A 27,564-nucleotide genomic window follows, 5' to 3' on the forward strand; every position below is an offset into this window, starting at 1 on the left:
GCTTATTACTGAAGTACTTTAGGAGTGGCAGTTTCAACAACCCAGCTTTAGGTTCTAGGACCTACAGGACCTACTGATTCTCTGGCATAATAAAACACTGAACTCAGAGCCAACACCATCACTCATGCCTGAGTGAAGCTGATCTAACAGACACTTAGTCCATGAGGCACATCACAGCCTTGCCCTTAGAGCAGCAGGCAATATTTTGCCACACCTGAGGACCATTTTAAATAGTGAAATTGCCAACAAAAATTGCAGAAATGCAAAAAACATGGTACTGTGAAGAGACTATGAAAGGACACTTGCTTGTAGTAGGAGAGGAAACGGCAGGGCATCCCGTCCAGCCTCCGTCAGGAACGTGCGGGTCAGGCAGCTTGGCTCATTCGCTGCTCTGTGCATGTCTGAAAGTGACCGCATGGGATGATTTTGGAGTAACAAATACATTTTAGTAGGGAGGTTCTCAAATAGGGACTTCGTAAGTGAGGATCAAAATCACAATATTGGTGTTTACTTGAAAGACTTTAAAATTTATTTTAAATAGCTTACAAGGAATAGTGGTTATATTTATAGAACATTTTATAAAACAGATTTACACTTGCAACACCAACAAAAGCTTGAAAATAAAAGTTTACCTAAAGTAAAATTGGTGGCTGGGTTTGGTGGCTCACGCCTGTAATCCCAGCACTTTGGGAGGCCAAGGTGGGTGGATCACTTGAGTTCAAGACCAGACTGGAGGACATAGCAAGACCTCGTTTATATTGGGGAAAAAAAAATTATCAGGGTGTGGCATGCACCTGTAGTCCCAGCTACTCTGGAAGCTGAGGTGGGAGGATTTCTTGAGCCTGGAAGATTGAGGCTGCAGTGAGCAACAATGGCACCACTGCACTCAAAAAAAAAAAAAAAAAATTGAGAGTCAATAACTGCAATAAACTTTTTTAAGTATAATCAAATGAGTTCAACTGTCACGTTAAGATGCCTTGAATTCTTTTGATTTTCTAGTTCCAATTTCTAGCTTTAATATCTTCAAATCACCTGTTAAAAAGAAGACAGCAATGAGTAACATCTTAGGGTAGAAAGCAGTTATTTCAAAAGAAAAATAGTTTGAGAGCCTAAAATGTAACTATTAGAAATAATTAAGTTTATTTTAGAAAGCTTTAAAGAAATGGTATCGATTTTTATTCTTATAGTGTACATATACATTTACACCTAATTTTGAGTAGCACACTAAATGATTCACATTCGCTGGGAGAATGATGGTCACATGTCTCTTTTAAACAGTATTTTGAATTACATTCCTTAAACATTTTAAGGGTATCTGGAAAATTAATGCATAGGAAGAACTTTTTACACATTTGTTAAAATTTCAGCACCCTCTGTCTACTAAGATATTTTACTGATTTCACTTTACATCCTGTCCTTTTTATGCAATCACTACTGTTCTTATCAGGAAAATCCCCAAGATACTTCCAACAGTACCTGTATAATCCCGGATCTGATACCTGCAATCAGCCCACACAAAGTCCTAGTGTTCCCAGGCTTCTCACTAGCCAATAATACAGCCCTACATCTCGGCAAAGAAAAGCATGGGTTGGCTTTTTTTCCTAATGTTTAAATAAATGTAGTGCAAATACTTTTTTTCACAACTTTGCTGTACAAAGAGGGCAAGTCTCCAGCTGCATGGCTGATTATGACACAGTAGAAATTACACTTTTATAACTAGTAATCCAAATGTTAGTATTTTTCAAAATATGGTGACAAGTGTTTTAAAAAAAACTTTTAAAACTTAAGTACCTGGGTTGTTGTAGGTGGCGTTTCTAGTTGACTATTAAGTCACAGAAACACAACACATATTAACTACAAAACTAGTTTTGGTTTGAGTCAACATCCTGTGCTTTAGCAAATCACAAAGTAGGGTTTATACCAAGCCCACAGAAACTGCTTTTGACTAAAACATATAATTACCTCAAGTTCTACTTAGTAATACATATATACTGACTTATAATTTCAGCCTTCATTGAGCAAATAAACTTCAACATGCTCAAAAGAAAAGACTATTGCCAAACTAAGTGATCTTACTGGGGAATTTGGTTACATTGGGTATTTCATCCCCAGTATATGGGGACAATCACCTATTCCTGAAGGTCTATTATTATTTTTAAATTTCAGTTCTCTTTGGGATGCCTTTCTTGACAGCTCCCATGGCATGAAGCTTCCAATCCTGCTACTGAGGTCAGACTAGTGGTTCGCTTCAGGATATTTTGTCATCGTGTGCCCATGGAGAGCAAACTGCTGATGGAGACACTGCAATTCGGCCTTTTCTTGTCATCATTCCTCAGTAGCTGGAGGGAGCAGTCTTCTGGGAAAGGCTGTGTGTTCAGGATCCCTAAAAAGATAGCATGCGGGGAAATTATTACCTGCCAAGTGGTGTGTGTTTTTACACCTCTCTGGCCCTTTAGTTTTCTGCTGGGAAACCCAGAACGCCAGTCCAGACACCGAGGAGCCGAGGAAACAGGACAGCAGGCAGGGGGCTGCGGAGAGCAGCACAGTCACGGACACTGCCTCCTTCTCCATGCCACCCGCGGTTTCCACAGTTAAATACTGGTCCACATGACATGTGAACACATGGCTCCTATAATGGTTAGGAGGAAGGTGATTCATGTGGTAAATAATATAACAATGAAACCTGATTTATTATACATTCCCCCAATTCTCTGCATCTTATCAACTTAAAACTTTCAGCAAAAACTCTTGTAATATTTGTTTCTTTTTTTTTTTTTTTTTTGACAGGGTCTCACTCTTGCCCAGGCTGGAGTACAGTGGTGTGATCACAGCTCACTGCAGCCTCAACCTCTTGGGCTCAAGCGATCCTCCCACCTCAGCTTCCCAAGCAGCTGGGACTACAGGCAGATGCCACCACACCTGGCTAATTTTTTAAATTTTTAGTAGAGATGAGTTTTGCCTTGTTGCCTAGGCTAGTCTTGAATTCCTGGGCTCAAGAGATCCTCCCATCTTGGCCTCCCAAATTGTTGGTGTTAAAAGCGTCAACCACCACACCTGGCCTGTCACTTCTTTATCATGTTAATTTTCATCTAAAAAAACTATCACTGAAAACTTTTTCCTTTCAAAGTACTGAACAGTTTTCTTCTCTTGCTAATTTCTTTTTTGCTACTAAAGACTTGTGTTTCTAGAGATATGACCGTAATTATTCCAACCTCTCCAATTTATAATTTAGTGTTCAAGCTTTTAAATTAAGGAACACTATGTTTGACAGCTGCTGATTAAGAAATCACACTTCTGTAATTATCAAAAACAATTTACCTTGGTCTGTCACAGTATTTTTTTTTTTTTTTTAAGAGAAACACCCGTCAAATTTATTGCAGTTGTCCAGTCAGCAATGGTGATCTTCTTGCTGATTGCTGATCTTGCCATTCTTGGACCCCAAGTGCTCCATGACCTCCACAATATTCATGCCATCTTTCACCTTGCCAAAGACCACATGCTTGCAATCCAACCACTCTGTCTTGGCATCTTGGCAGGGCAGATAAAAAACTGGGAAACGTTCACGCTGGGTCCAGCATTTGCCATGGACAAGATGCCAGGACCCGTATGCTTCAGGATGAAGTTCTTGTCATCAAATTTCTCCCTGCAGATGGACTTGCCACCAATGCTGTATGGCGTGTGAAGTCACCACTCTGACACGTAAACCCTGGAATAATTCTGTGAAAGCAGGAACCCTTATAACCAAATCCTTTTTCTCCAGTGCTCAGAGCATGGAAATTTTCTGCTGTCTTTGGAACCTTGTCTGCAAACAGCTCCAATCTGTTAACATAGTTTTATGGATTAGATGAGCAGTCACTTCTTGCTTTCCAGGCCCCTTACCTCGAAGGAGACACAGCCCAAGGGCTCGCCATCGACAGCAATGTGGAAAAACATGGTGGGGTTGACCATGGCTGGAAGCAGGGGGCCCTGGGCGGCAGCAGCATCTGCAAAGCTCACAGCCTTCTTTTTAAAAGTCAGCTTCATTAGCTACTGGGAAGAATGACTAGTTAAAACATTTTCCCCTAGCATTTCTTTCTTTCTTTTTTCTTTTTGAGATGGAGTTTTGCTCTTGTTGCCCAGGCTGGAGTGCAATGGCACGATCTCGGCTCACCGCAACCTCTGCCTCCCAGGTTCAAGAGAATCTCCTGCCTCAGTCTCCCGAGTAGCTGGGATTACAGGTGCCCACCACCATGCCTGGCTAATTTTGTATTTTTTTTTTTTTAAGTAGAGATGGGGTTTCTCCATGTTGGTCAGGCTGGTCTTGAACTCTTGACCTCAGGTGATCCTCCCACCTTGGCCTCTCAAAGTGCTGGGTTTAGAGGCGTGAGCCACCACGCCTGGCCCTTCCCTAGTATTTCTGTTTTTTTTTTTTTTTTTTTTTTTTGAGGCGGAGTCTTGCTCTGTCGCCCAGGCTGGAGTGCAGTAGCGCAATCTTGGCTCACTGCAACCTCTGCCTCCCAGGTTCAAGCGATTCTCCTGCCTCAGCCTCCTGAGTAGCTGGGACTACAGGCACATGCCACCACGTCCGGCTAATTTTTTGTATTTTTAATGGAGACAGGGTTTCACCGTGTTAGCCAGGATGGTCTCGATCTCCTGATCTTGTGATCTGCCTGCCTTGGCCTCCCAAAGTGCTGGGATTACAGGCGTGAGCCACCGCGCCCGGCCCTCCCCTAGTATTTCTTTTTTTTTTTTTTTTTTTTTTTTTTTTGAGACGGAGTCTCGCTCTGTCGCCCAGGCTGGAGTGCAGTGGCGGGATCTCGGCTCACTGCAAGCTCTGCCTTCCGGGTTCACGCCATTCTCCTGCCTCAGCCTCCCAAGTAGCTGGGACTACAGGCGCCCGCCACTACGCCCGGCTAATTTTTTGTATTTTTAGTAGAGACGGGGTTTCACCGTTTTAGCCGGGATGGTCTCGATCTCCTGACCTCGTGATCCGCCCGCCTCGGCCTCCCAAAGTGCTGGGATTACAGGCGTGAGCCACCGCGCCCGGCCCTCCTAGTATTTCTTAAAGACAAAGAGCAAACAATCTACTTGCTACAGAATCAGGATGTATTTTCCTATTTATAATAAACTACAGAAGGTAGATTTCAAAGGTAATGGCTGTTATGGAAACCTACTTGAGGTTGTCTGCTAAAACCAACTCAGTGTGCAAAGCGAAATACATTTTCTACTTCAATAGCTCCTCATACTGCATCTGTCTGTAGAGTTTATTTCAGTAAAACTGTTTACTATTTCATGATGAGTAGCTAGAATTAAAGCATTAAGTAGCTTGAGAAAATAATCTATATAAATCTTTATATCCTACATATGGCTATAAAAATAAATTTATAATTTTAAAAATTGTTTTAAATAAACATTTATTTTTACCTACAAAGTAAAGATATACAGAATAACTAGGAGCAAGGAAAGACTATAATTCCACACTCTAAAAAATAACTGCCTCATACTCGACTTCTACCTCCAAGAAGTGAAAAAATAGCAGAGTGTGTGTTTAATCACTTTTTAACACTTAGCAGTCTCCAAAAGCTTTGCATTAGCCTGCTCCTTTGACCCAAAAGAACAGCAAGCAAGTAAAAAAGAAGAAACGGTTAAGCAAGGTCATGGTATTAAATCTGCTTAAACTCTAATCAAGAAAACTGGTTATTTCGAGTCAACAACAAAAACTAAAATTCTACATCTTTCGCCCTTTTAATTGTAAAGATTAAATTGTAACTGAAATCAATATAACAGATTCTGAGTCTGCCTACTCATTTTCCTTAACAAGGCAATGAAGAACTTAATGCTCATGTGCGATATAGAATCTTAGCTTTTTATTTGTAGGAAAAAATAAACAGATTTCCCTCCCCAACAAGGCGTCACAAGAAATGAGGCAATAAAGGGAAAAATGCAAATCCTAAAGTCATCTAGTGCCTTTCTCATAATTCTAAACAAAGAAAAAGTGCTCTCAGGTTTTGAAATCTTCACATACACTACAGATGGGCAAAAAAGCTACAGACATCTCAGTTTACAAGTTTCAAGTTCTTAAAAAAAAAACAACAAAAAAAACCTTTCCTCCAGGGAAAGCCCATGAGATCAATTATCGAATTGAATTATACAATTCCACTTCAACTAGTCTAACATTGATGTGCTTTGCCAAAAACCTTGAAAAATAGAATTAACTGGTTTTTACAGAACCATAGCAGCCAATTATTTAGAAACACCACCTGTCCTTTATATTAGAGTACCTGCCCCAGTTGTCTTTGTAATAGTCTGAAGCAACACACTGTTCATGGTAAACACTCTATTTTAGTAGATAAATATATGAGGACTAATCGAAAAGTCTCTTCAAGAAGAAAATATCTTAGTCCTTTGTATATCAAATCAGAATCTAATAGGTAAAATAATATACATTATTTTCAAATATACAAATTATGTGCTAAAGTAAAAAAAATAAAATGTCCTTTAGTTCAAGCCAAACTTCTGTTGGTGCCACTTCAGTGGGCACGTGTGCTAGGAGATGGGTCCTCCATGCCGAGAGTCACTCCTGCCGGCTTCTGCAAGAGAGCAACATAAGCTACTCCATCAGAAGAGGGCAGCATATTCCGAGCTTCAACTATGCAAACACACTTACTCACTTGGAGATAATTCAAGATGGTAAACAGAAAAAAAAATTTTTTTTGAGACGGAGTCTTGTTCTTGTTGCCCAGGCTGGAATGCAATGGCACCATCTTGGCTCACTGCAACTCCACCTCCCGGGTTCAAGCGATTCTCCTGCCTCAGCCTCCTGGGTAGCTGGGATTACAGGCACCCGCCACCACATTCAGCTACTTTTTGCATTTTTAGTAGAGATGAGGTTTCACCATGTTGGCCAGGCTAGTCTCGAACTCCTGACCTCAGGTGATCCACCCACCTCAGCCTCCCAAAATGCTGGGATTACAGGCATGAGCCACCGCGCCCGGCTAACAGAAAATTTTAAATAAAACATACATGGAAAACTGATAACCCATTCCACTGATAGCCAACAAGAAAAATCGGTAAACATCTTCATCATATGAGGAGTTTTCTAGCATTAGCCTAGCCAACATTAATCTCATCAGCAGATCAGTCTTTAAAGACAGTCAGAGATGGCGGTACCAGAAGATGTTCCCAAAAGTTGAACAAGTAGCTAAGGTGATGGTGATGCTGCCACCAATGAAAACAATAGCCAGTATTTATATTGACCCTAAGAGGTAGAGATTAACATGTCACCAGCCCCGGTTTATAGATGGCAAGGAAGAGGAGGAGCTGGTACTGAAATCCAGACAGTTGCTATTATGAAGTATACAAAATCACTTCACACAAAAGGCTCTTAGAATAGAATACTTCCTTAAAGATAGCAGCAGATCCCATTACTTTTTATTTTGCCAATTTAAAGTTTCTTTTTTCTTTTCTTTTTTGATATAGGGTCTCACTCTCTCACCCAGGCTGCAGTGCAGTGACATGATCATGGTCACGGCTCGCTGCATCCTCGACTTCCTGGGTTCAAGTGATCCTCCCACCTCAGCTTCCCAGAGAGCTAGGACTACAGTAGGCACACGCCACCACGCCCCGCTAATTTTAAGTAGAGACAGAGTTTCTGCATGTTCCCCAGACTGGCCTCATGCGATGCAATCTGCTCCCTGCCACCCTACCTCCAAAAGTGCTAGGATTACAAGTGTGAGCCACCATGTCCAGCCTGAAGTTTCTATTAAATGGTGAAATAACATAAGTAATCTCATAAAATGCTTCCTCTTGTTTTATAAATATAAGTGTATATTTATAAATACAAAATTTGTATTTACTGTTTAAATTGACAAAAACTGTATATATATATGGTATACAACATGATGTTCTGAAACATGTATACATTGTGGAATGGCTAAATCACACTAATTCATGTGCATTACCTGACATATTCATTTGAAGTGAGAACATTTAAAATCTACTCTTTGGGCATCTTTCAAGAATACTATACACTGTTATGAACTGTAGTCACCATGCTGTACAATGGAGCTCTTGAACTTGCTCCTAACTGAAACTTTGTACCTTTTGATCAATCTCTCCAATTCCCCCCACACCCAACCAAATATTTTGCACTCCCCTTCAAGGAGGTGAAGTAGGTGGAGAGTGATGTAACTGGAGAGTGGAAGGTGCACTTCCACAGGGAAACACCTTCTCCAGGGTCTACCATGAGTAACTTCCACATTCATTTCCTAGTTGCTCCTGAGAGTCTAGTAAATGTTTTCTCAACTATAAGTGAAACCACAGTTTTTTCTGGAAGTATTAATGCCTGATTTTTCTAATTTAGTGTTTTTCAATTTATGTCGTTACCGTTATAAGGCTGAAAGAACATTAACAGATAAAGTCAACTTGCTGTTGCACAATACTTGAGAATTTAAAAAAAGGACAAAGAGAAAAATAGAATGTGAGCCCCATACGGGGTGGGGTGGGGACACTGGGGAAACTGGCTGCTTCAGAATGTATCTGACATTTTGCTGCTTTGGAAACCTAGCTGCTTCTTCCACCTTCTTTATTTCTACCCATGATTTCATGATTTCTACCCATGATTTCAAATTGTATTATCTTAGTTCTAAGAGGGTATTTCAGGACAGCCAATGGTAAACTGTAAGGCACTGCAAGTTAACAAGGTAGCAAGAATGCAGAAAAATCTGGAGGCTGCTCTTGAAAGACATTTAGTCAGAATAAGAGTTTTAGTATCTCCAGGGTGCTCATGTACTAGAGAAGGCAAAGTTAGTTTTCTTTCTGGAGTTGGAAGGCAATGGCAAAATCACACTGGTATGCACTCTGGCTCTATATAAAGACATTCTTAAAAATAAGAGCCATTTACCAAGGGAACATGCTGCTTTGCAAGGTGGCCCAGTCTTAGCTGGAGAGCTGTTAGGAGAATGCCTACACAGATCAATCGCTACAATTTTATAATTCTCTGAAATCTATTCTCCTTTTTTTGTTCCACAATGCAGTCTTTTCTTCCTCTGGTGCTGGTTAATACTTACATTCTAATATTTCTACCGATTTTTGCCTCACAGATCCTAAATGTGCTACAAAAAAACTGACTTAGTTTCAATCTTACTGCTTTGGAAAAATATGCTTCCTCTTCTAGGATGACAAAATTCAAAACCTGAAGCATCGATTCTTCCCACTTAAAATAACCTTTAAGTGAATCCAATTCCAATAAAAATTCTGATGAGATTTTCTTTTACTTGGCAAAATGATTTTAGAATTAATCTTTAAAAAATGTAGAATAGGCTGGGTGTGGTGGCTCATGCCTGTAATCCCAGCACTTTGGGAGTCCCAGGAGGGTGGATCACCTGAGGTGGGCAAATCACTTGAACCCAGGAGGCAGAGGCTGCAGTGAGCTGAGATCGTGTCACTGCACTCCAGACTGGCCGACAGAGCAAGACTCCATCTCAAATAATAATAATAATAATAATAATAATGATGATGATGATGATAATGTAGAATAGTCCAGAAATTTTTTAAAAGAAGAATAAAGATGAAGGAAATTGCCTTGCAAATATAAAAACATATTATTTGCAATTATTATTCACTAAACAATATTAGGACAACTGATTAAACATTTGGGTTTAATAAGTGGAATAAAAGGAAAAAACAGATTAGTTAAATCTCCCCTCACACCTTAAACTATATGTGTTTAAGATGTTTAAGATTTACATTTAAATCTTACATTAAGATTTAAATGTAAAATACAAAACCCACAAATACTAGCAAAGTACAGGTCAATATCTTTACAATCCTAACATAAGAAAGACCTTCCTAAGTCAGCATGCAATCAAAGGCAGAATCATGAGAGAACGGGAAACTAAACTACATAATTTCTATCTGGAAAGTACAATGAAAAGCCAAAGGATACAGAAATTGGGGGAGAAATACATAAAATATATGACAAAGCCCTAGTATTTTCAATGTATAAAAAGCTCTAAGGATCAATATGAAAAAATTACTATCTCCATAAAAAAATAAGCTAGGGATAAAATAAGCAGTTCATCAAAGAATAAAGATGACCAACAATGTGAAAAGAGGACAAAAATGTAATTTAAAAAATGCAATGAGTCTAGACAACATGGTGAGACTTCATCACTTCAAAAAAATTTAAAAAGTTAGCTAGATGTGGTGGCACACGCCTGTGGTCTCAGCTACTTGGGAGGCAGAGGTGGCAGGATTGGTTAAGCCCAGGAGTTTGAGGCTGCAGTGAGCTGTGTTCTCATCACTACACTCCAGCCAGGGTGACAGAGCAAGACCCTGTCTCAAAAACCAAAATAAAACACAAAAAACAAAACAAAACAAAAAACATGCAGTTCACTACATTTTACCTATCAGAGTGACAGAAAACAATTAGACAAGGCATAAGTATATATACATAATGATTTCAAAGTGCTACTGATAATACAAACACTCATTAATTAGTTTCAAGAAATTATAGAAAATTCAAAATGTAATACTCTGTAGCTGTAAAAAATTATCTATTTATCAACATAGAAAGAGCTTCATATATTAAGTAAAAAGTAGGTTACCTAACAGCCCATAAGTGATATTCACCGACCCTTAAACACCTTTCGATTTCCAGAAAAACATCTGGAAAGGTAATTATCAAAGTGTTAAGATGACATCTCTACGTGGGGGACGACTATTTTCATTTTTTCCTTATGCTTTTCTGCACTTTATGTATTTCTTTATTTTCTTTCACAGCTACTAATAAAATTCCTTTTTTTTTTTTTTTTTTTTTTAAGAGACAGGGTCTTGCTCTGTCACCCAGGCTCAGGCTGGAGTACAGTGACAGGATCATAGCTCACTGCAGCCTGAACTCTTGGTCACAAGCCACTCTCCTGCCTCAGCATTCTGAGTAGCTGGGACTACAGGAGAATGCCACCATACCTGGCTAATCTGTGAAGTTTTTGTAGAGATGGGGTCTCACTATGCTGCCCAGGCTGTTCTCAAATTTCTGGTTACTTACTCTTCGATAGCTCAAACTCGAGCAATCCTCCCACCTTAAACTCCCAAAGCACTGAGATTACAGGTGTGAGCCACCACTCCTGGCCACATTCTATTGTTTTATAATTTGCACACCGCTCACCTAGCAATGCCGTATTTTCTCCTGCATCTCCTTTAAAGCTGGGATCACACTGTGGCTCAGATTCAGCAGGGGAGGCTGATGGTGGACTGCTGTCATCACTTCCGTCATCATCTGGTAAAGCTAGACTCAAATTTGCAGCTGGATCCCTTCCAGGAGGAGATTCTGGAGCAGGCATCTCCTGTACATCCCCAGGCTCTCCCTTGAGAATTAGAACAGAAGAAAAAACATGATCAAAGCTTAAAACATGATCAAAGCTTATGTATCATCTGGCTCGTAATTCACACACAATATTACGTACTTCTGTACAATGAATCTGGCAAAAAGCACATCAATGTCTCCCTTATCTAGTATCACAAGAAAATGAATTCCTTCTCGACAACCAATCTCCTAAGGCCAACATGTTTTTTATTCTAAAAAACATTTCCCCTCCTTGATACAAGCAATGCCACCTTTTAAACTATTGACAGAAAGTGAAGCTTTCTTCCACTTCCTTGCCTTCCCAGACAGAGGATTTGAGGCCATAGCCATGAACTCTGATTACCGCCCTGTGCTGGTTTACAGTGAGGCACTAGGGTTTCAGAAATAAACAAGGCTTTTGAACAGATGCCTTCAGACTGTATTATTTTCTTGAAAAAGTTACTCTGGCTCCTTCCGTATGGACAGGGTGTTGATCAGCTGTAGTTTGTCTCCACCTTCCCTCCCTCCTTCCATTTGCTGCTTTAAAGAAAGGAAGACAGTGAAAGTGGAGGGCTGGGGACACTATCAGCATCACTGCATTAAGTCTCAACATTTGGGGGACAGCTAGAAACTTTATTTGATTAATACCAGAGTCAAAGCTGTGTTGTAAGTGGATGGAACTCCTGGTAAAGTGACTTATTAGATGAGGGGTTACTGCAGGTTGACTATGACCTTCTGGCTCAGCATCTCACCATTGCTTCAAGTAAAAACACCACTCACGGGCACCCCTCCTCCCTCCACTGGGCTGTGCCCCCCACAGCCCTGCTCCACCTGTGTTCTAGAACCTGCCCCTCCTGCCTCACCAGTAACGTAACGCCCTCCCATCCCTACTCCTGACACACCAAGCAACAAATCCTGTGGCTGTGACATCACAATACCCAAACTCCTGCCCAGCCTAGCTCCAACCTTTTTACCTAAATATCTGCCAACTTAACTACCTGCCAACCTCCAACCCTGTCTGTTCACTCCACAGACACAGCATTAGCCTCAACACTTTGGTGTGTCTGATGGATAATGCAACACCCAGCTCAACTGCCCTCTCAAATGCACTTGCCCCACCTTCCAACTTCTACCTGGCAGCAGGGCACGTGACCCCTCCTCTGTGCTCCTACGGGCAGCACTTCAAACAGGCCTCTTTGGCCATGTCATGTCTGTATGCGTGCCCTGACCCCCTACCAGTCCAGAAAGTGAAATCTTCAAGAGCCCATGAGGGGAGGGGCTGTGTCTTACTCATCTTTGTCTCCCCAGAGCCAAGTGCAGATCTAGCACCTTAGATGTCATTTCTTTGACCCATCCTTGCCAAATGAATGAAAACAAGTGACATGGACACACTGAAATGGTTACAGCTGTAAACCTTTAAAGCCTGTGTGGTTGACTGAGGGTGACTCTCACTACAGTTATGGGGAAATAGAAAACTAGTTACTATAAGAGGGCACAGCATGGCTAACTAAAGCATACACTGCAGGAGGGGGTCAACAGGTCCACAGAAAAGGGTGTACTGTCTAAAGATTCAAAAGTCAAAGGCAAGACAGTAAGTTTCTGAGGTCTGATGTTACTATAGGTTCTGTTCTTCAAACAATAAATTAGGCATTCTGGGGATATATATTCTAGCTTTCTGAAATTAACATTCTAAGAAAGCAACTCAACCTTATGTGAGATGAAGAGTCTTAATTTTTAATATATGAAATATATATATAGCTTATTTCCAAAAACAAAACTCATGAGGATTAAAGTCCCTCTGCTATGGTCAGTGAAATTCCTTTCATACAAACATCCAGAAATGAAAAGCAAGTTTAAAACTACTGAGTAATGAAGAAAACAACTTAGAATACGCTTTAGAGTGTATCTAATGAAGGAAAAGAGTTCTAAAACCTTGCCAAGAAAGAAATCCATCAAGCTCCCTGTATGCTATTATTTAAAATGCTGTCCCACAAAGGCTCATTCTCTCATCTAAGCTACAGTTTCTGGAGCAAAGAGGGGATGAGCCAGGTTCATTAAGAAAGCATGTTATGCCATGCTAATCATAGCTACAATTACTGAAAACCATGAATATGTGAAGAAATTCTAGAAGAGAGACAAATTTTCTGGACATCAAAACAGTCTCAGTTTCTAGTCAGACAGTTCTTGAACACTGACCTCCACCTTCCTGTGATCACAGAGTGAAGGCGTTCTGGAACTCACATTTAAAAAACATAATTCAGTGGCCAGGTGCAATGGCTCATGCCTGTAATCTCAGCACTTTGGGAGGCTGAGGCGGGTGGATCACTTGAGGCCAGGATTTTGAGACCATCCTGGCCAGTGTGGTAAAACCCTATCTCTACAAAAAATATAAAAAATTAGCTGGGTGTACTGGAGTGCAGGTGTAATCTCAGCTACTTGGGAGGCTGAGGCTGGAGAATCACTTGAACCCATGAGGCAGAGGTTGAAGTGAGCCAAGATCACGCCATTGAACTCCAGCCTCGGCGACAGAGTGAGGCTGTCTCAAAAAAAACCAAACAAATCATAATTCATAGAGAATGACAGTAGTTGTTAAGGAAGTGGTCTCTTAAGCTAGAAGATGAGGGGGCATTTTAAGTAGACTGCAGTCTGGGAAATAAGTCTTGTTTAACGGGTCAGTTCTTTAATGATGCCACTATAGAAGCTTACATGACCATAATGGCTTAAAGCTACATAAAGTGATCATCATTTAAAAAACCCCAAATTGTAGTTTCTAATTCTACAATAAACTCTATGAAAAACTCTAAAAATATGTTTAGCAACAAGACTATATTTGATAAATTATTTTCCCCAAAGATCTTTATTTAAAAACTGTTATTGAGACAAGGTTTCACTCTCATTGCCCAGGCTGGAGTGCAGTGGAACGCTCTCAGTTCACTACAACCTCTGCCTCCCAGACTCATGCGATCCTCCTGCCTCAGTCTCTTGAGTAAATGGGACTACAGGAGCGTGCCATCATATCCGGCTAATTTTTTTTGTATTTTTAGGAGAGACAGGGTTTCACCATGTTGGCCAGGCTGGTCTTGAACTCCTGACCTCAAGTGATCCGCCCGCCTCAGCCTCCCTAAGTGCCGGGATTACAGGTATGAGCCACCAAGTCCAGCCTAAAATTGTTTATCTTTTAAATGAGAATATGTTGAGACATTAATAGATTGTATGAAGACTCTAAAAACAATAAAAAATATAACCTAAAAAAATATATTTTTCCCCTCTATGTTCCCCTCTTTGGGTAGGGTAATAGTTAAGTGCTTGGACCCTGGAATTAGGCAAACTTTATTTGAAAGATGATTCCCCATTAGCTAACTGCATGACCTCAGGTGAGTTATTTAGCTTCTCTAAGCTCAAGTTTCTAATCAGTAAGATGGGAATAGTGACAGCACTTATACAGCAGCTGTGAGGATTAGACATAACAAGGTATGGAAGGCATTTGTTCAGCATGTGGCTAGCTACTACTATGATTTCCTTTTCATTTCGCCCCCGTGTCTTCTGTGTAAGGCCCTGTGACCATCGGTGATGAACCAAAGTCAATGCAGGACAAACTGCCCCAGGTCTATTTGATTCTGAAACCTAGGAATACGGAATATTTGATGTTAAGTATTGGCTTTGTTTTCTTCACATGTAAAATGAGCATATTAAGCCTGACAACCTATGAGGCTCCTTCCTTTTCAAATATTTTATGATTCTTGTCTATACAAAACTAGCATACATACATTCTGTGGTGCAGCATGCCAAAACACATTACTCTGTAAGTAATTACAAACTCTCTGGGAAACATCTGAGCATATTATTCTACCATCATAAATTTATTTCACTGATTTTTTTACACTGCCTTAATAACTCATTTTTAATAATGAGGAAAATTTCTTCAGAGAACTACAAGGATATTAGGAGCATTTCACCTGTTCCTCTTGTTTCTAGTCAATAATGAAACTGAATCACTCAGGAAGAACTGGGGCAGAGATTGAATATAAACAAAAATGTAACAAACCCAATATCCTAGGGCTTTGATGACATCAAGTTTACACATTGGACATGTTCGGTGATCCAAAAGCCATGGGTCAATGCATATTCTATGAAAAATATGCCTAAAAAGATTAAGTATGTGTTAATGTTTTTAAAATCAATGTTTATATAACTTATAAAGGAAATAAGACATTGTACCAACTCATCCTCTCATTACAAGTTAGCTGATGTCAAATAAACATTCTAGTCTACTTACTTATCATGTCATTATTCTCTCTTCCATATGAAACAGAATCTGGCACTTCTAGGGAAATTTTCCCTTCACTCTACAAAAACCATGGCTTATTTATGCTCTCACGCTAGGTTGTACATTTTTATGTGCCTCTGTAAGTTATTTGAAAGCTTTTTGGGAAAAAATGTGGCATAAATCAACTAGTAGTAATAAGTAAACTAATACTAAACTGGAAGTACCTTACATAAGTCCATAAAATGACTCAAATGGAAATAACAACAAAAATATTAACAGATCATCTTGCGGTGGTAGGCTTATGCAACACTTATTTACTCTCTTACACAGTTTTGTATACACTCCATTTTTCTATAATGAACACCTATCACTTTCAGAATAAAAAAAAAGGCAGACATATTTTCTTCTTTTGCTGATTTGTCTCAGTTGGCTAACTTTTCCTCCTGTGTGATAGATCTATTTTCTGCAAGTGATGAAGAAAAGGAGTTACCAGTATAGTATGGGTTTCAGAGCCAGACAGGCTGGACTCAGATACGAGCTCTGCGACTCAATGGCTGGGACTCTGAACTAGGTTCCTACACTCTGCCCCACACCAGGGTTAGAGGGGCACATGCAATGTGCATACAACTGTGCCAGGCACAGAGCATACTTGGTAATTGTTTGGTATTATTACTGTTGTTTGAAGACTTTTTTACAAACAGAAATCTGCTAGTGGAGTTAAAAGTAACAGTACTCGCGGCCGGGCATGGTGGCTCACGCCTGTAATCCCAACATTTTGGGAGGCCGAGGTGGGTGGATCACCTGAGGTCAGGAGTTCGAGACCAGCCTAGCCAACATGGTGAAACCCGCTCTACACTAAAAATACAAAAATTAGCTGGGTGTGTTGGTGGACACCTGTAATCCCAGCTACTCAGGAGGCTGAGGCAGGAGAATCGCTTGAACCCGGAAGATGGAGGTTGTAGTGAGCCAAGATCACACCCCTTGTACTCCAGTCTGGGCAACAAGAACGAAACTCTGTCTCAAAAAAATAAAAAAAACAGTACTTAAGAAATAATTTTTACAAAAACATAAAAGGAACATGTTGGTTTTATTGGGAAATTTGTTACAGAAATAAAGCACAGGAGAAAATAAGGGAAAAGTCAAAAGCCCAGTAAGGAGACCACGAAATGTGCACATGCACCTGTGTTTGAGGGTCAGGTCCAAACTCCAGCTCAGCCACCAGCATGACCTAGTACTGCTCATCTGTGCAGCTTCCTGGACACTGTTTTTAAATCAGAAAGACCTGCCCTAAACCAGTCTGGAGTAAAAACTCTTTTCTCTACTTTAATAACTTTCTACATGACATGATCAACTTATACTGATCCAACCCAATTCATTCAGTACCCATCATACCAATCACATGTAAATGTTTGTAGGTTTAAACCAGCTACCTTTAGTCAGGAAACTTTCATTTGGTTACCCTGATACTCACGCCTTCATTTCCTTCACAGAATTATCAATCTACTATAAAGTACTTGGATATATACTAACGTACTCTGCAAACAAAGCAAAATATAATTATATACTGACTTGTGACTTGCTTCTAGTAGGTGTGAAGTATAATTAAAATTCATCAGACTTAAAACATACAATTTCTGTACATAAAATGAACCCTTTTAGCAAAGCAATTCTTTTAAAAAAGTTATCAACTAAAGTATCCCATTACTTTTTTTGGAGACAGAGTCTTGCCATGTCACCCAGGCTGGAGTGCAGTGGCGTGATCTCAGCTCACTGCAACCTCTACCTCCCAGGTTCAAGCAATTCTCATGCCTCAGCCTCCTGAGTAGCTGGGATTACAGTCATGAGCCACCATGCCCTGCCTTCCTTCAAGCAACTTCCTGCTACTAAAACAAAACCCTTAGTATAACCAGAATAAAGGAAAGAAAAACTTTTTTTTTTTTTTTTTTTTTTTTGAGACGGAGTCTCACTCTGTCACCTAGGCTGGAGTGCAGGTGGTGCAATCTCGGCTCACTGTAACCTGTGCCTCCCGGGTTCAAGTAATTCTCCTGCCCCAGCTACCTGAGTAGCTGGGATTACAGGTGTACGCTACCACACCCGGCTAATTTTTGTATTTTCAGTAGAGACGGGGTTTCACCATGTTGACCAGGCTAGTCTTGAACACCTGCATCAGCCTCCCAAAGTGCTGGGATTACAGGTGTGAGCCACAGTGCCCAGCCAGGAATATTGATTTTAAACAACCTCAGAAGGAACGCAAGCCCAGGGTGCAAATAACAGCAGACTACTGCCCTCCTCAACCTATTTCCCTTAGGCTGTTTCAGGCCCTTCTCCCTGGTCCCTCATTTTCCTTGCTCCCAACACAGCTTACTTTTTGCACTGCTAAATGTATAATGGAATTCCTAGGATTCTGATAAAGCCTTGCTTAGAAGACTAAAAGTCAATCTACGACAAAGATACTTAACGAGTCTTAGTGTCACCTAAGAATCTCCTAGGCAAAGCAATCTTAAAGGGCAGGGAAGATATTATATTTAAAATCCAAGCTGCTTTTCTAAAAAGAAGAGATGATCACAAATTACAAGATCTTCATTATCATAAAAAACAAATAACTATTTTGTCAGACACCTAAAACTTGTCAAGTAATTTTTAACATCTCAATATGTAAAAAGAACATACTTGCATGGCAGAATTCTAATAATATCCTTTACTTTGAAATTTTCAATACACACTGCACAATTTTCAGCATCAACATCAATTCCCTGTAAAAAGAAAAGGAAAGTGTTACTACATTCTTGGTACACAGTATATCCCTTGGTAAACTCACTACATCCGGACTAAAACAATGACGAATTCCCTTCTACAGTGGTACAACCGGTGAAATTAAAACACAAATAACTGTACTTGGTGTTTACCACTATTAGAGGATTATCTAAATACGGTTGAAAAGGAAAAAATTTCATTGTTTGCCTGATCAGATATGAACAGTGTTTAAATACTAATACACTATTCACATGTAATTACTGTATTTCATATATTTAGCCATGTGCACCACCTGTCAATATGGAAGCAGTAAACATTTTATTTATTATTGTTTTATTTATTTATTTATTTTTAAGAGACAGGGTTTCGGCCAGGTGCAGTGGTTCACGCCTATAATCCCAGCACTTTGGGAGGCCAAGGAGGGCGGATCATGGGGTCAGGAGATTGAGACCATCCTGGCCAACATGGTGAAACCTCATCTTTACTAAAAATACAAAAATTAGCTGGGCATGGTGGCGCGTGCCTGTAGTCCCAGCTACTCAGGAGGCTGAGGCAGGAGAATGGCTTGAACCAGGGAGTCGGAGGTTGCAGTGAGCCAAGATGGCACCACTGCACTCCAGCCTGGGCAACTGTTGAGCAAGACTCTGTCTCAAAAAAAAAAAAAAAAAAGAGACAGGGTCTTACCGTGTTGCTCAGGCTGGTCTCGAACTCCTGGACTCAAGCAATCCTCCTGCCTCAGCCTCCCAAGGTGCTGGGATTACCAGCATGAGCCACTGCACCAGACCAAGTTTGATTTTATATGCAGATATTGTTATCAAAGACTGTATTAAAATGAACTTTCACAGCCAGACACGGTGGCTCATGCCTGTAATCCCAGCACTTTCAGAGGCCAAGGCAGGTGGATCACAAGGTCAAGAGATCGAGACCATCCTGGCCAACATGGTGAAACCCCACCTCTACTAAAAATACAAAAATTAGCTGGGTGTGGTGGTGTGTGCCTGTAGTCCCAGCTACTCTAGAGGCTGAGGCAGGAGAATCGCTTGAACCCAGGAGGTGGAGGTTGCAGTGAGCCAAGATCGCGCCACTGCCCTCCACCCTGGTGACACAGCGAGACTCCGTCTCAAAAAACAAAACAAAAAAAGGAACTTTCAACAACATTTAAAATTATATGTTTCAATGAAAGTAAATACTATCATTTATCATACACAGGGCAAGAATGATGAAATAATTTTTAAAGTCTCTAATAATGGTTTGCAAGTTTATCCATTACTGTGAATGAGTCTACAAGAAAATAAAAATTAGACAACACTAGTCTCTCTAGAATGGAATATGATGTAGACTGAAGAAAACACTTTTGTACAGTTTAAAATGTTTAAATACTAAGCAAGTGTTCACGGGTTGTTAAAAAGTATTCATGTTTTAAGTGCTGTAGAAATGCAAATGTCTGCTATATTATAAAATAAACTATTTTTCAAACATAAAACTTATAATAAAAAGAGAATAAATATAAATAAGCTACTAGTTTTCTGGAATCATATAAAGTAACGTATTTACATTTGCTAAAGAATGGAATTACAACTCACAAATGAGAAAATGTAAATGGCTAAATATTTGAAAATAGTTACCTCACTAGTGATTAAAAAGAATGACAAATTAGAGTAAGTTACCATTTTTCATCTAACTACTTAATAAAGGTACAAAGAAACAAAAAGTGCTGGGGAGAAAGTAGTCTTGTGACAAAATTTCCACTTCTAAGAATCTATGGGTCATGGACCTCTTTGGTGGTAATCAGCCCTCCCTACTTCTCTGGCTAACCCCTGGATCTACACACCTGGTCTCACCCATCAACCAAGGCAGCCAGGGCCACAGTGGCCATCTGACACAAGATAGGCCAACAGGATTCTCTTTCCCAGGATGCTGGGGTAGAGACTCAGGGACTACCAATCAGTATCAGCATGTGGCTGCAAATTTAGGCAGTTCATTTTATGGAACACAGTTACACTGTTCTTATGTAATTACTGTATTTAAAAATATATTTAGCCATGTGCACCACCTGTCAATATGGAAGCAGTAAACATTTTATTATTAATTAATTAATTAATTTTTTTTTTTTGAGACGGAGTCTCGCTCTGTCGCCAGGCTGGAGGGCAGTGGCGCGATCTTGGCTCACTGCAACCTCCACCTCCTGGGTTCAAGTGAATCTCCTGCCTCAGCCTCCTGAGTTGCTAGGACTACAGGCTTGCGCCACCATGCCCAGCTAATTTTTGTATTTTTAGTACAGATGGGGTTTCACCATGTTGGCCAAGCTGGTCTCGAACTCCTGACCTCGTGATCCACCCGCCTCGGCCTCCCAAAGTGCTGGGATTACAGGCATGACCCACCACGCCCAGCCTATTTTTTTTTTTTTTAAGAGACAGGGTTTCGCCACGTTGCCCAGGCTGGTTTTGAACTCCTGGACTCAAGAGATCCTCCTGCCTCAGTCTCCCAAAGTGCTGGGATTACAGGTGCGAGCCACCCTGCCAGACCACATTTGATTTTATATGTAGATATTGTTATCAAAGACTGTATTAAAATGAACTTTTAACAACATTTAAAATTATATGCTTCAATGAAAGTAAATAGTATCATTTATCATATGCAGGGCAAGGATGATTAATTTTTAAAGTCTCTAATAATGGTTTGCAAGTTTATACATTACTGTGAATGAATCTACAAGAAAATAAAAATTAGACAACACTAGTCTCTCTAGAATGGAATACAATGTAGACTGAAGAAAACACATTTTTTTGTACAGTTTAAAATGTAAAACTGCAAGAAAATCCATGTACAGCTGCTCTTCAGCTTACCATGGGGTCACACCTCACTGAATCCACTGTAAGTTGAAAATAACATTAAGTTTAAAATGCATTTAATGTACCTAACCTACTGAACATCGCGGCTTAGCCTGGCCTACCATAAACATGCTCAGAACACTTACATTAGCCTACACTTGGGCAGAATCATCTAACACGAAGCCTATTTTATAATAAAGTATTGACTATCTCATATAATTTACTGCATACCATACTGAAAGTGAAAAACAACACTTGAAGTATGGTTTCTACTGAATGTGTATTGCTTTCACACTGTTTAAAGTTGAAAAATTGTTAAGTTAAACCATTGGAAGGTGGGGGCCATCTGTATATACCTCATGGGTCATTTAGAAATCTTCTTAAAAATATATATACCATAAGGCTTTTTTGCAAGGGATCCTCTTTTTTTCAACCATTATTTTGACAACTTTCAAGAAACAGGCCCTGGAAGCATATTTTCAAAAGTGTTCTGTATGGGAAGAGGATAATACCAATTTACTTGTGTTCTCAAAGATTTGATTCAGTAAATTAAACATATACATCTATGTCTTCTCATACTTAAGAACTGCAATTTCCGGCCGGGCGTGGTGGCTCACGCCTGTAATCCCAGAACTTTGGGAGGCCGAGGCAGGTGGATCACGAGGTCAGGAGATGGAGACCATCCTGGCTAACACGGTGAAACTCCGTCTCTACTAAAAATACAAAAAATTAGCTGGGCGTGGTGGCAGGCGCCTGTAGTTCCAGCTACTCGGGAGACTGAGGCAGGAGAATGGCGTGAACCCGGGAGGCGGAGCTTGCAGTGAGCCGAGATTGCGCCACTGCACTCCAGCCTGGGTGACAGAGCGAGACTCCATCTCAAATGAAGAAAAAAAAAGAACTGCAATTTCCTGCTAAGGAGGGTAAGAAGTCATGTTCCAAGAGGAACATAAACCACGTTTGTCAAGTAACTGACTATGCTGAATGTGTGCAGAGTTTGTCACAGGGATTAACTGGAAACTCTATCCCCAAGGACCTTCTGAGTGATCTGCAAATCAGACACTAATCTTAAGCCATGAGATGTGATCTTTTTTTTTTTTTTTTTTTACTTTTTCTGTTCAACACATTTGTATGGAAAGAAAATAATACCTTGCACAAACTATCAAAATTGAACTGTAGTACGAAAACAATCAGCAAAGGAATGGTAGCCACCAATACAATTCTCAAAGTCTCATTAGTATTAATTCCAAATTAAAAAAAAAAAAATCAAAAGTCTGTAAGCTAATGTGTTATTTTTGCTTTAATCCTTTAAGGTCAAAGAAAGAGATATACACCATAAGTGCATGTACTCTTTCTTTCTGAAGGGGAGTAGAGATTGGAGGGTGGAACAGATTTTTGATAACTTAGTGAGATAACATGAAAATCAAAACAGCTGAACCAAGTCATAGCTGCAAGTCAACATAATTATCAACATTTCAGAGCGCACCAGAAGAACTAGGAAAAGAATAAATCCTATGCATTAGCAACAGTTTTCCTTTTAAGGCATCTATCCTCCAAGAATCTGAGCTTCTAGATTCAGGATTTGTCCTATTTCAAAAATGCTTTAAAATTCTGGTATGATTTCGAACTTTTAAGTGTCAGATTAGCCATGTCAAAATGTTTCTTTTTCCAAAAGTAGTTTTAAAAACATCTTTTCCCCCCTCCAGAAATGCCAACATTTTCTCCCTGTAACTAAAGGACTCCAAGGGAGTGGACACATAGTCTCAGATTTAACAGAAATGAACTGAAGCTATCAAGGGTCTGTGAAGACTGTATGTCTTTATAGTTATCTGGTTCTAACCAGTACCACTTTCGTCACTGCTGGGAATGTAAGAGCTGTCCAGGAGGGCAGCAACCAGCCACTGTGGCTCCCAAAGTGCTTGAAGTGTCACCAGTGAGGGGCTCAATTTTAAATTAAATTCATTTAAATGCAAATTGCTATATGCGACTAGTGGCTACCATATTAATGCAGGTCTAGAAGGCCCTTCTCAATGACAAAATATTTCTGCCAATCCTTCTTTAAAATAAACACGTACAGCATATTCTCTACTCTAAACCACAAAACAAAAGAAAAACCATGAAAATATTACCTTTTCTCCATGCTTTACAGTATGAAGTAGAAGCTGGCCAATAACTTTCTTAGTTTCTTTTCTATGGCTCTTGGGTAGGAAAATATTAATACAGTTATTGAAAAATTTAAATTAAATCACTATTTTTCTTAAAAGTCACAAATATAATACACATAAGCATACAGAAAACATTTCATTTGAAAGGCAAAGTCAAATGACTATACTGAAAATAACTTTTAATGGCAAAACTGCGATTACTTTTGCACCAACTTCATAAAAAAGCCCCCTAACAACAAAAGCCATTCAAATCTTAATATGCAGAACAGCCATATGTAACTTTAAGAGGTGTTTCACCAAGAGTACTGATTTTAATTTGTCTGAAGAAGCAACCACTTCTTATGCTTAAATATTGTCAAGAAAGTAAGAAGCTGAGGATAGGGGTACCACATGCTCATCTATTCAAGTACCTAAAAGGTAAAGGCCTCTTCCTAGTCCTCAAGACAGAACAGTCAACTTTCCACAATGACAGAAATAAGTGGACGCTCAAAAGGCCTGCCTTGGGAAGCCACTGGCTCTCTGACGGCCCTTCTCTTTGCTGTCACTGAGAGAGATAAATGGCTTTACTACGGCTCCATGATGGAGACAGAGAGGCCCCCCCTTCCATTCATCACTCCTTTGGGTCTGGCAAGGGACTAAGAGGGTTCCTGCAGGAAACAAATGTGCAAAAGGTAACCCAGACTTAAAGGTATCTAATTTCCCACAAAACAAAAAATTTAACATAGTCCAATTAAAAAGTTACTTCCAAAAAGTCATGTTGAATACTTAAATAATATAAGCGAAAATCAAGATTATGGTCAAATGTAACTTCTAGGAATATATATGCGGCATATTTATGAATTATCTTTTAAAAAGCAAAATTCAGAGTTATCCATCATTACCTGACTTCCAATCTGAGAGCCAGTATATAGGAAACGCTGTATATAGTAAAATATTAGCCAGGCTAACGAGATAATCATCATGGTGATGAAGGCAATGGCCACAAACACCACAGACTGACCGCTGATGAACTCCTGTACATGCCGGGTGCCAACCCCTATGGTCATCGTTACTGGAATTCCTTTTTGCACCAGCTCCAAAATTTCTCTTCCTTTTGGATAGCTAATCATAATGACCACTATATTTCCTGTTCCTGTAGGAAAGAACAAAGAAATCAATGTGAAGAACACAAAATAAGATACAGAGAACATTAAATTAAATATAAGGGTACTATGTTCATCTACATATATAAATACATTAGAAAAATTCCATGGGAAACATAAGTTACCAAACCTGGTTCCAAAAGAAACTGATTACATTAGAAGTAATAGAATAAATCACTAAGAACTATTCCCCTGGCCGGGCACGGTGCCTGCCTGTAATAGCACTTTGGGAGGCCTAGGCGGGCGGATCACTAGGTGAGGAGTTTGAGAACAGTCTGGCCAACATAGTGAAACCCTGCCTTTACTAAAAATACAAAAAATTAGCCAGGTGTGGTGGTGTGCGCCTGTAATCCCAGCTACTTGGGAGGCTGCAGCAGGAGAATCACATGAACCTGGGAAGCGGAGGTTGCAGTGAGCTGAGATCGCGCCACTGCACTCCAGCCCGGGCGACAGTGCGAGACCCCATCTCAAAAAAAAAAAAAAAAGAACTATTCCCCCAAAAGCTAGAGCACTGTTCAGTTTCACAGGTGAAATCTACCACCAAACCTTTAAGGCACAAGAAACACCAACAACATTTAACTTGTTCCACAGCAGATTAAAAAAAAAAAAAGTTTAAAAATTACTTCTAAGATAATAAAACCAAACATTAGTAATAAACAACCAACAAAAGAACCATACAAGCCAGGTATGGTAGTTCACACCTGTAATCCCAGCACTTTGAGACACTGAGATGGGAGGATAGGTTGAAGACAGGAGTTGGAGACCAGCCTGTGTAAGCGAGACCTTGTCTCTACAAATAATTTAAAGAAAAAATGAGTTGGGAGGCTGAGGCAGAAGAATTGCTTGAGCCCAGATGGTCAAGGCTGCAGTGAGCTGAGATCATGCTACTGCATTCCAGCTTGGGCGACAAAGTATGACTGTATCTCAATGAAAAACAAACAAAAAACTATACAGACCAATTCCACTTATGAGTACTAATACATAATACCTAAAGCATGTTCATTAAAATCAGGGAGACAATATGAGAATTTCTACTATGATCACTATTATTTAGCATTGCTCTGAAGGCATAAGCAGACATGAGAGAAAAATTAAGAGACATAGAAAAGAAGGGCTAAAATAAAAAATTTTACATGTATTTAGCTACAAATTAATGCAATAATCATAAAATATCGATAAGATTAAAAAAGAACTAAACATATTGCTTCTAAGTTCACTTAGAAGGAAAATAAGATGATCAGAACAATGTTTTAAACAGTGAAACCTGGACTGGTCTTTAGAGTTAAAGTAATTAAAACATTGTGGCTGTAGCATATGGAGACACCCACAGAATGAGACAGAATAAAAGTCCAGAAATAGACCCAAATACATGAAAGAATTTAGTGCATAAAAGCAGAATTCCAAATGCATGAGGCAAAATGAATTATTTAAAAAATCACGTGGGGCAACTGGGTATCATCAGTGCGGCGGGTCGGGGGAAGCTGCATCCATTTCTCACAACTTACGCCAAAATAAATTCCAACTAAATTAAAGACTTAAGTGTATATATAAAAAAAGAGGAAACATCCAATGGCTAGAAGAAACATGGGAATCAAAAAATACATATTGACGAAAAACTTCTCCAAGTATAAAAACTACCTCAGAGGTTCTTAAAAAAAATTTTTTTTTAATTACATAAAAATGAAAATTTTCACCATGAGTAAAAGCAAAACCAAGTTCAAAAGAGTAAATGGTTGGCCGGGCACGGTGCCTCACGCCTGTAATCCCAGCACTTTGGGAGGCTGAGGCGGGCGGATCACCTGAGGTCAGGAGTTTGAGACCAGCCTGGCCAAAATGGCGAAACCCCGTCTCTACTGAAATTACAAAAATTAGCTAGGTGTGGTGGTGGGCGTCTGTAATCCTAGCTACTCAGGAGACAGAGATAGGAGAATTGCTTGAACCCAGGAGGCAGAGGCTGCGGTGAGCCAAGATTGCGCCACTGCACTCCAGCCTGGGCGACAAGAGCAAGACTCCATCTCAAACAAAATACAAAAAGGGCAAATGGTCAACTTGGAAAAAATAGATGTAACATAACAAAGACAAAAAACTAATTTCCTATAAGAGTAATAGAAAAACAAAGAAAATGAAGTTGATTTGCAGAAAAGAAAATAAAAACGGTTTTTTGTTTTGTTTTTATTTTTAAAGAGATGGGGTCTCGCTCTGTCACCCAGGATGGAGTACAGTGGTGGGATCCTAGCTCAATGAAGCCTCAAACTCCTGGGCTCAAGTGATCCTCCTGCCTCAGCTTCCTGAGCAGCTGGGACCACAGGCACACACCACTACACCTGGCTAATTTTTTTCATTTTTTTTTAGAGATGGGGTCTCACTATGTTGCCCAGGCTAGCCTTGAACTCCTGACCTCAAGCAATTCTCCCACCTCGACCTCTCACAGTGTTGGGATTCTGGCATGAGCCACTCTATGCCTGACCAAATGGATATTTTAAATAGCAGCTTTATTGAGATATAATCCACATACCACAAAATTCACCCTTTTTAAGTGTACAAGTCAGTGGCTTTTAGTGGATTCATAAGGTTGTATGTACAACCATCATCACTATCTAATTCCATAATGTTTTCATTACCCTAGAAAGAAACCCTGTGTCCACTGGCAGTCACTCTCTCCCTGCAAAAGGGATTTTAAACACATGAAAAGTCTTCCTTGGTAACAAATGAAAACATTTCCTGTAAGATTGGCAAAGATCAAAAAGTCTGATACACTATACTGGCAAAAATAGGCACGAATGAGCACTCTCGCACACTGCTGGACAAGGGGGTGAATAAATTATTACACTCTTCTACGAAAGGCAATGGCATTCAAAAAATTCTAAAAGTCCATATCTCTTTGGCCCAGCAATTCTGTGCCCAGGAACTTAATTGCACAGATGTAACCAATGAGGTATCTATAAAGATTTACTGTTGGCCAGGCACGGTGGCTCACACCTGTAATCCCAACACTTTGGGGGGCCAAGGCGGATGGATCAGGAGTTTGAGACCAGCTTGGCCATCATGGCAAAACCCTATCTCTACTTAAAAGAAATACAAAAAT

At 39.9% G+C, this 27,564-nt stretch overlaps 1 protein-coding gene and 1 non-coding gene across 9 annotated transcripts in view; both read right to left on the bottom strand.

The window, feature by feature from the left end:
- Nucleotides 1-506: 506 nt before the first annotated feature.
- The window catches only part of RNF149 (ring finger protein 149), a 37,483-nt gene continuing 10,425 nt past the window's right edge, over nucleotides 507-27,564 (bottom strand). Inside the window, exons 2-8 of one of the 8 annotated variants that reach the window (XR_001738712.3) lie at nucleotides 24,219-24,469; nucleotides 23,302-23,370; nucleotides 18,261-18,343; nucleotides 15,369-15,465; nucleotides 11,147-11,345; nucleotides 2,130-2,383; nucleotides 507-1,032 (exon numbers count right to left, since the gene is read on the bottom strand). Coding sequence is in view for 5 of the 8 variants with exons in the window: in XM_005263920.4 (XP_005263977.1) it covers nucleotides 11,019-11,345; nucleotides 15,369-15,465; nucleotides 18,261-18,343; nucleotides 23,302-23,370; nucleotides 24,219-24,469 (827 nt within the window). In the remaining 3 variants the exon portion in view is untranslated. Of the gene's footprint in view, nucleotides 1,033-1,115; nucleotides 2,384-2,414; nucleotides 2,630-3,333; nucleotides 4,027-4,888; nucleotides 6,570-6,923; nucleotides 11,346-15,368; nucleotides 15,466-18,260; nucleotides 18,344-23,301; nucleotides 23,371-24,218; nucleotides 24,470-27,564 lie in introns of those variants that run through there. The other 7 variants (XR_922908.3, XM_005263921.5, XM_024452811.2 and 4 more) reach the window with 7 other exon arrangements.
- Nucleotides 2,224-2,337, bottom strand: SNORD89 (small nucleolar RNA, C/D box 89). The gene has a single exon (NR_003070.1). It is a non-coding gene; the product is annotated as a small nucleolar RNA, C/D box 89 (small nucleolar RNA).

This window comes from Homo sapiens, chromosome 2 (genome assembly GCF_000001405.40).
Source record: "Homo sapiens chromosome 2, GRCh38.p14 Primary Assembly".
Classification (NCBI taxonomy): Eukaryota; Metazoa; Chordata; class Mammalia; order Primates; family Hominidae; genus Homo; species Homo sapiens.